The sequence below is a fragment of the Homo sapiens genome, chromosome 20, assembly GCF_000001405.40.
Source record: "Homo sapiens chromosome 20, GRCh38.p14 Primary Assembly".
Taxonomy (NCBI): domain Eukaryota; kingdom Metazoa; phylum Chordata; class Mammalia; order Primates; family Hominidae; genus Homo; species Homo sapiens.
Window position 1 is genome coordinate 18,875,784 of NC_000020.11, and position 14,616 is coordinate 18,890,399.

Here is a 14,616-nt window from a genome sequence, read left to right on the forward strand (position 1 = left end):
AGGGAATGCTCTCAACTTTTCCCCATTCGTGGGTTTGTCATAGACGGCTTTTATTACATTGAGATATGCCCCTTGTATGCCGATTTAGATGAGAGCTTTAATCATAAAGGATGCTGGATTTTGTCAAATGGTTTTTCTGCATCTGAGATAATCATGTGACTTTTTGTTTTTAATTCTGTTTATGTGGCATATCACATTTATTGACTCGTGTATGTTAAACTATCCCTGCATCCCTGGTGTGAAACCCACATGATCATGGTGAATTATCTTTTTGATATGTTGTCAGATTTGGTTAGTTAATATTTTGTTAAGGGTTTTCGCATCTATCTTCATCAAGGATATCAGTCTGTAGTTTTCTTTTTTGGTTATGTCCTTTCCTGGTTTTGGTATTAGGGTGATGCTGGCTTCCTAGAGTTAATTAGGGAGGGTTCCTTCTTTCTCTATCTTATGGAATAGTGTCAAAAGGATTGGTACCAACTCTTCCTTGAATGTCTGGTAGAATTCTGCTGTAAATCCATCTGGTCCTGGACTTTTTTTTTTTTTTTGGTAATTTTTAAATTATCATTTTAATCTTGCTGCTTGTTTTTGGTCTGTTCAGGGTATCTCATTCTTCCTGATTTAAGCTAGGAGGTTGTGTTTTTCCAGAAGTTTATCCATGTCTTCTAGGTTTTCTAGTTTATGTGTGTAAAGGTGTTCATAGTAGCCTTGAATGATCTTTTGTATTTCAGTGGTGTCAGTTGTAATATCTCCTGTTTCATTTCTTAATTTATCTGTTGTATTTTGTTGTTGTTGTTTCAGTTTCATTTGGTTCTGCTCTGGTCTTTGTTATTTCCTTTTTTCTGCTGGGCTTGGGTTTGGTTTGTTCTTGTTTCTCTAGTTCCTTGAGATGTGACCTTAGAATGTCAGTTTGTGCTTTTTCAGTCTTTTTGATGTAGACATTTAGGGTTATTAACTTTCCTCTCAGCATCACCTTTGCTGTATCCCAGAGGTTTTGATATATTGTGTTATTATTGTCATTCCATTTGAAGAATTTTTAAATTTTCATCTTGATTTTGTTTTTGACCCATTGCTCATTCAGGAGCAGGTTATTTAATTTACATGTATTTGCTTGGTTTTGAAGGTTATTTTGGAGTTGATTTCTAGTTTTATTCCACTGTGGTCTATGTGAGTGCTTGATATAATTTCAATTTTCTTAAATTTATTGAGGTTCATTTTATGGCCTATCATATGGTCTCTCTTGGAGAAAGTTCCATGTGCTGTTGAGTAAAATGTGTATTCTGCAGTTGTTGAATGAAATGTTCTGCATGTATCTGTTTAGTCCATTTGTTCCAAGGTATAGTTTAAATCCATTGTTTCTTTATTGACTTTCTGTCTTGATGACCTATCTAGTGCTGTCAGTGGAGTATTGAAGTCCCCCACTATTATTGCGTTGCTGTCTATCTCATTTCCTAGGTCTATTAGTAATTGTTTTATAAATTTGGGGGCTCCAGTGTTAGGTGCATATATGTTTATGATTGTGATATTTTCCTGTTGGACAGGGCCTTTTACCGTTACATAATATCCCTCTTTGTGTCTTTTAACTGCTGTTGCTTTAAAATTTGTTTTGTCTGATATAAGAATAGCTGCCTCTGCTTGCTTTTGGTGTCCATTTGCATGAAATGCCTTTTCCCATCCCGTTTACTTAAAGTTTATGTGAGTCCTTATGAGTTAGGTGAGTCTCCTGAAGGCAGCAGATAGTTGGTTGATGAGTTCTTATTCATTCTGCAGTTCTGTATCTTTTAAGTGCAGCATTTAGGCCATTTACATTCAATGTTAGTACTGAGATGTGGGGTGCTGTTGCATTCATTGTACTATTTGTTACCTATTTCTTTTTTTTTTTTGCTTTTTGTTTTTGTTTTTTAACTTGTGTTTTTGTTTTATAGGTCCTGTGTGATTTTTGCTTTAAAGAGGTCCTGTTTTGTTGTGTTTCCAGGAGTTGTTTCAAGATTTAGAGCTCCTTTTAGCAGTTCTTGTAGTGGTGGCTTGGTCATGGCAAATTCTCTCAGCAATTGTTTGTCTGAAAACGACTGTATCTTTTTTTCATAAATGATGCTTAGTTTCACTGGATACAAAATTCTTGGCTGATAATTGTTTTGTTTGAGGAGGCTGAAGATAGAGCCCCAGTCCCTTCTAGCTTGTAGGATTTCTGTTGAGAAATTTGCCATTAATCTGATAGGTTTTTCTTTATAGGTTACCTGGTGCTTCAGTCTTACAGCACTTGAGATTCTTTCCTTCATTGTCACTTTATATAACCTGATGACAATGTGCCTAGGTGATGATCTTTCTGCGATAAATTTCCCAGGTGTTCTTTGTGCTTCTTGTATTTGGATGTTTAGATCTCTAGCAAGGCTGGAGAAGTTTTCCTTGATTATTCCCCCAAATATATTTTCCAAACTTTTAGATTTCTCTTCTTCCTCAGGAACACTGATTATTCTTAGGTTTGGTCATTGAACATAATCCTAGACTTCTTGGAGGCTTTGTTCATATTTTCTTATGCTTTTTTCTTTGTCTTTGTTGGATTGGGTTAATTCAAAGATCTTGTCTTCCAGCTCCGATTTTCTTTCTTCTACTTGTTCAATTCTATTGCTGAGATTTTCTAGAGCATTTTTGCATTTCTATAAGTGTGTCCAATGTTTCTTGGATCTCTGACTTTTTCTTTATGCAATCTATTTCCTTCAATATTTCTCCCTTAATGTCTTGTATAATTTTTTTTATTTCCTTGCATTGGGCTTCACCTTTCTCTGGTGCCTCCTTGATAAGCTTAATAACTAACCTCCTGAATTATTTTTCAGGAAAATCAGGGATTTCTTCCTGGTTTGGATCCATTGCTGGTTAACTAGTGTAATATTTTTTTGTGGGGCGGGGGTAGGGGTACGGTGTTAAAGAGCCTTGTTTTGTCATATTACCAGAGTTGGTTTTCTGGTTCCTTCTCATTTGGGTAGGCTCTGTCAGAGGGAAGATCTAGGGCTGAAGGCTGTTGTTCAGATTCTTTTGTCCCATGGGGTGTTCCCTTGATGTAGTACTGTCCTCCTTTTCCTATGGATGTGGCTTCTTGTAAGCCAAACTGCAGTGATTGTTGTCTCTCTTCTGGGTCTAGCCACTCAGCAAGTCTACCAGGCTCTGGGTTGGTACTGGGGTTTGTCTGCATAGAGTCCTGTGATGTGAACTGTCTATCACTCTCTTAGATGTGGATACCAGCACTTGTTCAGTTGGAGGTGGCAGGGGTGTGAAATGCACTCTGTGAGGGTTTTTAGCTTTGGTGGCTTAATTCTCTAAAGCTGATTGGCCTTCTGCTACTAGGTGATGCTTTCCTGAGAGCATCAGCTGTGGTAGTATGGACAGGAACTGGTCATGGGCGGGGCCCTAGAACTCCCAAGATTATATGCCCTTCATCTTCAGCTACCAGGGTGGGTAAGGAAGGCCCATCTGGTGGGGGCAGGGCTAGGCATGTCTGAGCTCAGACTCTCCTTGGGCCAGTCTTGCTGCAGCTGCTGTGGGGAATGGGGGTGAGGTTCCCAGGTCAATGGAGTTGTGTACCTAGCAGGATTGTGGCTGCCTCTGCTGAGTCATGCAGGTTGTCAGGGAAGTGGGGAAAAGCTGGCAGTCACAGGCCTTACCCAGCTCCCACACAAACCAAAGGGCTGGTCTCACTCCCACCTTGCCCCACCCCACAGTCCAGAGTCTCTTTCTAGGCAGTGGGTGAGCCAGGCTTGAGAACTTGCCCCAGGCTACTCGCCTCCCAGCTGGGAAAGAAAATGGCTTGGTTCCTTCCCAATCTGTGGAGTCTGCACACTGGATTCGTGCCCTCCCCCAACTTCTGGCTGGGAGGCTTCTCACCCAGTTCAAATTATTACAAAGCTCAGCTGGAGATTTCCTTCTCCCTGTGATGTTTTTCCCCACTCCTCTGGTTGCCCTCCTGATGGATCCCTGTGGTGCCAGGCAGGAATGGCCTGTTTGGGGACCCAGTGAGCTCTCAGTGCCTTTCTTGCTGCTTCCTCCACCCCTGTATTTCACTTGGCTCTCTAAATTGACTCAGCTCCAGGTAAGGTCAGAAACTTCTCCCACAAACAGACCTCCAGTTTCTCCAGTGGGGATGTGTTCAGGAGAGGAGGATCTCCCTTTCCCACTTCTGCAGTTGGGGGCACTTGCAGTATTTGGGGTGTCTCCTGGGTCCTGCAGGAGCAGTCCACTTCCTTCAGAGGGTCTTTGTGTCCTCTTGGTATTACTGGTTTGTTCTTGCAGTTGAACTGGAGCTAAAATTCACAGTGCAAGCCTCTGCATGCTGCTCTGTCCCTCTAAGTTGGAGCTGCAATCTAGTCCTGCCTCCCGTCCACCATGATGATCCCCTCTCCCCTTTAACTTTTAATCCATATGTGTATTTATATTTTAAATGGGTTTCTTGTATACAACATATAGGTGGGTATTGTTTTTTAATCCACCTTGACAATATCTGCCTTTTAACTTGTACATTTAGACCATTGATGCTCAAAGTAATTATTGATAGAGATGGATTAATATCTAATGTATTTATTCCTGTTTCCTATTGATTACCCTTGTTCTTTTTCCTATTTTTGTTTTCCACTCTTCTGCCTTTTTGTGGTTTTAGTTAATATAATTCTATTTTCTCTCTTTTATTAGCATATTAGTTATGCTTCTTTTTTCTTCTTACCTTTTTTAGTGCTCACCCTAAAGTTTTCAATATGCATTTATAATTAATCCAAGTCCACTTTCAAATAACACTATACTCTTCACTTGTAGTGTGAGTACCTCATAATAACAAAATGTTCCTAATTCTTCCTTCCTGAGCCTTGTATCATTGCTGTCATTCATTTTACTTACACATAAGCATATATAGGCATATATACACATACACACACAAATAAGCATATATAATCAAATATATTTCTGTGATTATTTTGAACAAAATATTGTCTGTTAGATCAATTAAGAAGGAGAAAAATAAAAACTTTAATTTTACCTTGAATATTGCTTCTTTGATGCTTTTTCCTTCTTCACATAGATCTGCATTTCTGACCTTTATCATTTTCCTTCTTGCTAAAGAATTTCTTTTAATATTTCTCTCAGGGCAAGTCTGTGGAAAAATATTCCCTCAATTTTTGTTTGTCTAAGAAAGACTTTATTTCTCCTTCACTTTCGAAAGATAATTTCACAGGGTACAGAATTATAGGTTGGTAGGTTTTTTCTCTTAACACTTTAAATATTCACTCCACTCTCTCCTTGATTGCCTGGTGATATGGTTTGGATGTTTGTCTCCTCTAAATCTTATGTTGAAATGTGATCCTAAGTGTTGGAGGTGGGGCCTAATGGGAGATGTTTGGGTCATGGGGGTGGATCCCTCATAAATGGCTTTGTACCCTTCCCATGTAAATTAGTGAGTTTTCACTCTGTTAGTTCATGTGAGAGCTGGTTTTCTAAAGGAGCCCAACACTTCCTCCTGTCTCTCACTCCATCTCTTGCCATGTAACATGCCAGCTCCCCTTCCCTTCCGCTATGACTAAAAGCTTCCTGAGGCCTCAACAGAAGCCAAGCAGATGCTGGTGCCATGCTTGTATGGCCTGCAGAACCGTTAGCCAAATAAACCTCTTTTCTTTATAAATTACCCATCCTCAGATATTTCTTTATAGCAATGCAAAATGGACTAATACACCTGGCTTTTGAGGAGAAGTTGAGTATAATTCTTATCTTTGCTGCTTTACAGGTAAGATATGTTTTTCTCTGGTTTCCTTAAGGATTGTTTCTTTATCTTTGATTTTCTGCAGTTTGTATATGATATGCCTAGGTGTAGTCTTTTTGACATTTATTCTGCCTGGTGTTCTCTGAGCTTCTTGGATATGTAGTTTGATATCTGACATTAATTTTGTGAAAATTCTCAGTCATTTTTTAAAATATTTCTTTTGTTCCTTTCACCCTCTCTTCTTCTGGAATTCCCTATGTGTATGCAGCTTTTATAGTTGTTCCACAGTTCTTGAATATGCTGTTCTATTTTTCTGCTCTTTTTTCTCTTTGCTTCTCAGTTTTGGTGGTTTCTACTGAGATGTCCTCAAATTTGGAGATTCTTTCCTCAACCATCTCTAATCTACCAGTAGGCCCATGAAAGGCATTATTCATTTATTTAACAGTGTTTTTGATGTCTACCTAGCATTTCCTTTTGATTATTTCTTAAACTTTCTATCTCTCTGCTTACATTGCCCATCCATTTTTGCCTGCTGCCTACTTTATTCGTTAGCATGTTGATCATTGTTTAAAATTCCTAGTCTGATAATTCTAATTCCTGATGGATCTGAGTCCGATTCTGATGCTTCCTCTGTGTCTTCAAACTATGTTTTCTGCTTTTTAATGTCTTGTAATTTTTTCTTGATAGCTAGACATGAGCTACTGGGTAAAAGGAACTGCTGTAAAAAAGCCTTTAGTGATGTGGTGGTAAGGTGTGGGGGAAGGGCAAACATTCTATTATTCCATGATCAGATCTCAATCTTTTAGTGAGCCTTTGCCTCTGTACTGTAAAACTCAAAGGGGTTTCATAGTTTTTCCTTCCTTTTAGGTGGCATAGAATGGCTATAGTGAACTATATTTGGGTATTTCCCTTACCCCAAGTCAGTTAGGCTCTGATAAAATAGGTTAGGCTCTGGTTAAACAGTTTTTCCTGAGGGAAGAACAAAGTGCTCTGACTTATTTCATAATGCTTCATTTCTTCCTTCTCCTGCCAAAAGCGCAAGATAATTTTTCTCTGATTTTCCCTGTGAGAACCTGATAGAGCTCCAGCAGGTGAAACTCACAAAAATGTGGAGACCCCTGATGACTGTGTCCCCTGGAGTTTTGTCTCTCAGACTTGTCCACACTGTGCCTCCGGCAATTTGGCAGTTACAGTTCAGATTTTTTTTACCTTGGCAGTTCTGCGGAGATTGCTGTTTGTGGGTTTCTGTTCTGGCAAGCCACAATTCTCTGCATCTACCTGTGTGTCTCTCCAGTTTTGGGGGTAGTGATTTGCCCTGTGGTCCCACTTTGTCATGGATCCAAGAAGAGTTGTTAATTTTTCAGTTTGTTCATCTCTTCTCCCTCAGCTTTATTGAAGGACACTTGGCAAATAAAAATGGTGTATATTTAAGGAATACAAGGTGAGGTGAAATAATTACTATAATCAAGCTAATTAGTATATTCATTACATAGTACTGATTTATTTTTGTGGTCAGAACACTTAAGATCAACTCTATGAGAAAATTTCAATTATATAATACAGTAATGTTAACTATAGATACCATACTGTACATCAGATGTACAACCAGTGCACAAGCCAGATATTCTAGAACTCATTCATCTTGTGTATCTGTACCTTTGTACAATTTGATCAACATCTTTCCACTCTCCCTACCCTCAGTCCCCCTCAACCATCCTTTTCCTCTCTGCTTTTATATTAAACTTTTGTAGATACTGCATAAGTGAGATCATGTGGTATTTGTCTTTCTGTGCCTGGCTTATTTCACTTAGCATAATGGCCTCCAGGTTCATCCATGTTGTAATAAGCTACAGTATTTTTTTTGTAAAAGGCTGAATAATATTCCATTGTTTATGTGTGTTTGTGTGTGTGTGTGTATATCTCACAGTTTCTTTATCCATTTGTCCATCAACGGACACTTAAGTTGTTTTCATATCTTGGCCGTTGTGAATAATGCTGCAATGAACCTGGTTTGCAGATATGAGGTCCTGACTTTATTTCCTTTGAATATATACTGAGAAGTGAGATTAACTAGATCATACGGTAATTCTTTTTTTTTTTTTTAAGATGAAGTCTCACTCTGTTGCCCAGTGTGGAGTGCAGTGGTGCGATCTCAGCTCACTGCAAGCTCCACCTCCCAGGTTCACGCCATTCTCCTGCCTCAGCCTCCTGAGTAGCTGGGACTGCAGGCACCCGCCACCATGCCTGGCTAATTTTTTTGTATTTTTAGTAGAGACAGGGTTTCACCATGTTAGCCAGGATGGTCTTGATCTCCTGACCTCGTGATCCACCCGCCTTGGCCTCCCAAAGTGCTGGGATTACAGGCATGAGCCACCACTCCCGGCCCCAATCATATGGTAATTCTATTTTTAACTTTCTGAGGAATCACCATACTGTTTTCCATAATGGTTGTACCAATTTACATTCCCATCGACAGTGTACAAGGGTTCCTTTTTCTCCATATCTTCACCAACACTTGTTACCTTTTGTCGTTTTGATAATAGACATTCTAACAACTGTGACATGATATGTCACATTGTGGCTTTGTTTTGCATTTTCTTGATGATTAGTGATGTTGACCATCTCTTCCTACATCTGTTGGGTATTTGTATGTCTTCTTAGACATGTCTACTCAGGTCTTTAGCTCATTTATTTTTAAATCAGGTTATTTGCTTTTTGCTACTGAGTTTTTTGAGTTCTTTATATATTTTGAATATTAGGACTTTATTATATATGTGATTTGCAAATATTTTCTCTCATCCTGTAGATTGCCTTTTTGCCCTGTTGATTATTTCCTTTGTAGTGCAGAAGCCTTTTAGTTTGATGCAGCCTCACCTGTCTATTTTTGCTTTTGTTGTCTCTGCTTTTGTTGTCATATCAAAAAAATTATTCCCCAGGCTAGTGTCAGGAAGATTTTCCCTTACATTTTCTTCCAGTAGTTTTAAGGCTTCAGGTTTTACAGTTAAGTCTTTATTAATTTTGAGTTGAGTTTTGTATATGGTGTGAGAGAAGGGTCTAATATCATTATTCTGCATGTGGATATATAGTTTTCCCAGCACCATTTATTGAAGAGACCATCCTATCCCCATAGTTCTTGGCACTCTTGTCAAAGATCATCTGACCATAGACGCATGGATTTATTTCTAGTCTATTTTGTTCCATTGGTCTATATGTTGGGGTTTATGCCAGTCTCATGCTGTTTTGATTACTTTAGCTTTGTAATATATTTTGAAATCAGTAAGTGAAATGCCTATGGCTTTGTTTTTTCTCAAGATTGTTTTGGCTATCCAGACAGAAAAATCAATAAGAAAACAGAAGAACTAAACAAAATTTTAGACTAAATGAACCTAACAGACATATACTGACCTTTCTACCCAGCAGAAGATATACATTCTTCTTAAGCACACATGGAACATTCTTTAGGATAGGTCACATGTTAGGTCACAAAACAAGTCTTAACTAATTTAAGAGGATTAAAATCATTCCAAGTGTCTTTTCTAATCACAATGGAATGAAACTAGAAATCAATGACAGTAAGGAAATAGAAAAATTCACAAATACATGAAACTAAACAGCGCATTCTTGAACAACCATTGGGTCAAAGAGGAAATCAAAAGGGAATTTAAAAAGTATCTTGAGAGAAAGAAAAATGAAAACATAACATACCAAAGCTTATGAGATGCAGCAAAAACAGTGCTAAGAGAGAAGTATAAAGCAATACATGCCTACATTAAAAAAAAAGCAAGATTTCAAACAACCTAACTGTACACTAGAGAAAGGACAAACTAAGCCCAAAGTTAGAAAGAGAAAGGATGTCATAAAGAGTTGTCCAGCCTTTCACTTGTTGTTAGGATGGAGTGGTGACTTCCAGGTTCTTACATGCTGGACTGGAAACCAGAAGTCTGATATGGGTTTTTTTTTTTTTTTTTTGAGACGGGGTCTTGCTTTGTTGCCCAGGCTGGAGTGCAGTGGCACTATCATAGCTCACTGCAGCCTCAACCTCTGAGGCTCAAGTGATCTTCCCACCTCAGCCTCCAGAGTAGCTTGGACTACTGGTATGCACCACCACACAAGGCAATTTTTAAAATTTTTTGTAGAGACAGGGTCTCTTTATGTTGCCCAGGCTGGTCTCAAACTCTTGGGCTCAAGCAGTCCTCCTGCCTTGGCCTCCCAAAGTGCTGGGATTACATGGCTGGCCTTTAAAGCTGCTCCAGTGTTTAAAGATTGAGAACCACCACTCTACATGAGTCAGAATTTTAATGTTGTGGAAACTCAGAGATAATCTTCCCTATGTGGACTTGGATCTTCCTGCAGGTCAAGAAGTGGCTGCAATTTAACCGACTAGCTAACCAGAGGACCAGTGTGATAGAAAAGCAAGACAACCCCTTTAAGAGCATTGCAAAATAGTAACTAACATTTATCAGGCTTTAGCCAATTTTGACTCTACATGATTTGCCCTTTTGACTTTGAAACATTCTGTCTATAAAAGCATGGCTGTGGTACTCAAAGTTATTTCACATTTCATTTGGTCCGAATAACGATTCTACAAAGTGAAGACTCATGTAAAACTCACTTTGCAACTGGGAAAACTGAGACTCAGGTGAGCAAATAAACTTCACTAATTACTGAGTGACATTATGCACTCAGGTCCTACTACTACAGTTCGAGGTCCTACTACTACAGTTCGAGGTCCTACTACAAATTGAGGTCCTACTACTACAGTTTAATAAAGTACTTGCATCTCTAACTTTGGTGGTATTTTCCACAACTTCTAGTACAGGACTGGGCTTACAGGGGATATTTATTATAATTTCTAAAAAGCATTTTATAAAACATGACAAGTATTTGTAAAGTATCTTATGGTTTACAAAGAACATTCAGGTCCACTCTTTTTCTATTAAAATGCTTGCAAAAATTATGAATAAATGAATGGACACATATAGTTTTGAAATAGAATTTGGGTTTTGCACTAGTGTCCTTTCGAACTCCCTGAATATTCAGGGGACCAGTTTCATGGTCTTTGTCCATGGATGGCCTGCATCTCCAGTCCATGTAAAATTATACCTTGGTTCCTCATTCCCACTTCCATCCTTTCTAGCAACCAACCTCATCTCATGGAGTGATAAGGCCACTCAGAAAACACTTTGTTTTAATATTGCTTTTGCCACTGACTACCAAGGTGAACTTTAGCAAGTCATTTCTCTGGGTTTCAATATCTGTGCATGAAAAAGGAGAAGTCTGGACTAGACTGGTGGGCAAATACAAGGACAGCACATATATCTCTCCTGATTGTGCACAAGCCAGACATTGCTAATTGGTCATGCAATGTCCTTCCCACTATATTTGGATACACTCTTAGACTCTTTCTGAATCCAGAATTCCAGGCAGCCATTACAAATTAGCCAGGATTAGCACTCAAGATGAAACTGATTAGTCATCTTGGCACTAGATGACATTCGAGTTTCCTTCCAGCTCTGCTATTCTATGGTTTTCTGGTTTTAAAAGCTGGGTTGCATGGATCTCATCCTGCAGGCTGTTACTTGAGGATGATCCCAAAGGTGGAACTGGCAGCATAATTTGGAATGACCAGAGCATTCATGGGGCTCAGAAATTTCTCTAAAAATTTCTTAGCTGTCCTAAGTTTGGCTGTACATTAGAGTCACATTGGCAGTTTTTTCAAAAATTGAGGTAAAAATATATCATACATACTATAAAGTGGAACATTCTAATCTTAGCTGTACAGTTTGATGGATTTTTACGTACATAACATCTGTGTAACCACTACCTTAATCAAGACATAGAATATTTCCAGCACTCCAGGAGGAGACCTTATGTTCCTTCCTATCAACACTTGAAGGTAACCATTGTTCTGTTTTCTGTCACCGCAGATTAATTTCACCTGATCTTCAATTCTGTATAACATGTGTGGTCTTTTGTGTCTGGCATCTTTTGCTCAACCTAATGTTTTTGAGATTCATGTGTGTTGTTGAGTGCATTGATAGTTCTTTTATATTGCTGCTTAGTATTTCATTGTTTGAATATGTTACAGTTTATCCATTCTCCTGTTGATGGATGACTGAGTTACTTCCAGGTTTGGACTATTACTAGTAAAGCTTCTCTGAACATTCTTACACTTATCATTTTGTAGACCTATGTTCTCACTTCTCTAAGAGTGAAATTGCTGGGTCTGAGGGTACATGTAGAGTCAATCCTCATTATTCATGGATACTGTATTTGCAAATTTGCCTGTTTGCTAAAATATATTTGTAGCCTCAAAAATCAATACTCATGGCACTTTCACAGTCATTGATGGACATGTGCAGAGAGGTGAAAAATTTGAGTCAATTGATGTGCACATTCCCAGTAAGCCTGAACATGGCAAGGCCCCGCCTTCTTGTTTCAGTCCTCGTGCTGTAAACTGCTGTGTAGCTAGTGCCCTGTATTTTGCATTTCTGTATGTTTTTGAAGAGTGATTTCACTGTTTTAAATGCCAGCACCAAGTGTAGTGCTGAAGTGCTATGTAGTGTTCCTAAGCATAAGAAGGCTGGGATGTGCCTTTTGGAGAAAATACATGGGCTAGATAAACTTTGTTCCAGGCATTAGATTAATATGAATGTTATCAACAATATAAATTAAGTAAGAGGTCTTTAAACATAAACACATGTAAAACAAGGTTATGTATTGATTGGCTAAGTAAAGTCTTTTTCTTAAATTTGAGACAGTGTCTCACTCTGTTGCTGCTGGAGTGCAGTGCTGAAATCACTACTCACTGCAGCCTCAGCCTCCCGGGCTCAAGCCCTCCTCCCATCTCAGCCTCCCTAGTAGCTGGGACTACAGGCATACATCACTGCCTCTGGCTAATTTTCTAAAAAAATTTTGGTAAAGATGGGGGTCTCTATGTTGCCCATGCTGGTCTTGAACTCCTGGACTCAAGCAATTCTCCTACCTCAGCCTCCCAAAATACTAGGATTACAGCCATGAGCCACCGCGCCTGGCTAGCTGACCAAAATCTTGTGATCAAGGGCTGGCAGGCATCTAATCCTGCAGTTCCCCTAGGAGCAGTGGTTCAGTAGTCACCAATTTGATGTTCACTGTGACTTTATAGAACATATACTACTGCGAATAATAATAGACTGTATGTTCAACTTTAATGCCTAATAGTTTACTAACATGATCGTATGATCTAGGGAGCTTTAAAAACTGCCCTTGGTCAGGCTATGCCTAGACCAATTAAATTTGCATTTCTGGTGGGGGACCCCAGGGTAGGCGTCTTCAAGCTGCTCAAGTGGACCCACTCTACAGCTGATGTTGACCATCACGGATCGAAATATAGGGAGAGAAGACAGGGAATAACAACAGAGTGCAGCCTGTGCATAAAGCTGTCACTCAATAAAAAATGGTCAATTTTACTTAATATGCTCTCTTTGGTTTCTTTTTATTCAGGCTTTTATTCTCTTTTCTTTACGGATGGTTCATGCACATAAAAACATACAATCATGGAAAAAGCAATCTCTTGCCTGGAAAATAAATGACAAGAACTACCCTCATACCAAGGTGAAACTCTTACTCACAGACCTGGGCTTGATTATAAAGAACAAACAATGGCTTGGCAAACAGAATCACCTACCAGACATATGAACATTTATTATCACCTATGATTCTGCGCAAAGGGAGGGAGGAAATGTCTGTGTAGTAATCAGAAAGAAACTGCAATGGAAAACAAAGGAGATGATTGATTGCCAGATGCGAACGAACAGCTCGTTGTCATCAGGAAATCAGTATCTCCTACTCACAAAACTTGCAGGGCTAATTTCTGTGGTAGTCTGCACAAATTTAGCCAAGAAAATCAAATTTCCACTATCCCGAGAAGGTTAGCTCTGTTGTTGAAATTATTATAATCACTTAGTTTAAGGGGTGAGTTTTTAAGAACCACTTCTCCTTTACCAAGGCAGACAGAGCTGTCAAAGGCACCCAGCTTACCTGGTCCTCAGGCACCATATGAAGGTACTTAGGTATTTACCTCCCGGATGGAAAACGCCAACCTTTAGCACTCAGAATTGAATTGGAAATTGCTGAAGGTGTGTCTGAATTGGCCAGTGGTTCTCTAAGTGCGGTTTCTGGACAAACAGCATCAGCATTAAGTGGGAACTTGTTAGAAATGGGAACATTTGGGATCCACTCCGGTAAGGTTGTCAGAAAAAATACAGGATGCTCAGGAAAACTTGAGCTTCAGATAAGCAATAATGACTTCTTTTTTTTTTTTCTTTTTGTATAAGTATGTCCTATGCAATATGTGGGCCTAAATACTAAAAATAATGTTGTTCAACTGAGATTCAAACTTAACTGGGAATCCTATTTTTATGTGTAAATCTAGTAACCCTACACCCTACACCCCAGACCTATGGAATCAGAAACTCCTCGGGGTGCGGCTCAGTAAGTTGTGGTTCAATGAGACTTCCAGGTGATTCTGATGCTAGCTGAAGCTTGAGACCCAGTGCTCTAGTTTTAGTTCCCATCTTGCTATTGATGATAGCTCATTATCTTGCTCCCTTTGTAATTCACGTTGGTCAGGGCCCCAATTGTAAAGTGTCATGAATTGACCTCTCCAGATACAGGTGTGTGCTTCAGGGCTCACATTCCCTGGTTTCTGGCATCTGTGCCCTTTGCAGTTCACTGCCGATGCATGAGACCTCTCACCAGACAAATGGTGAGGCTGCCCGTCTCTGACCCATGGCAACCATGGGAACAATCTCCTTTGCCTCCATTGCTGCCACACTACAGTAGCTGTTTGGTTTTCTTACCTCTAAAAGTCCACCAAAGACTTGTGCCACCTGGATAAAGAT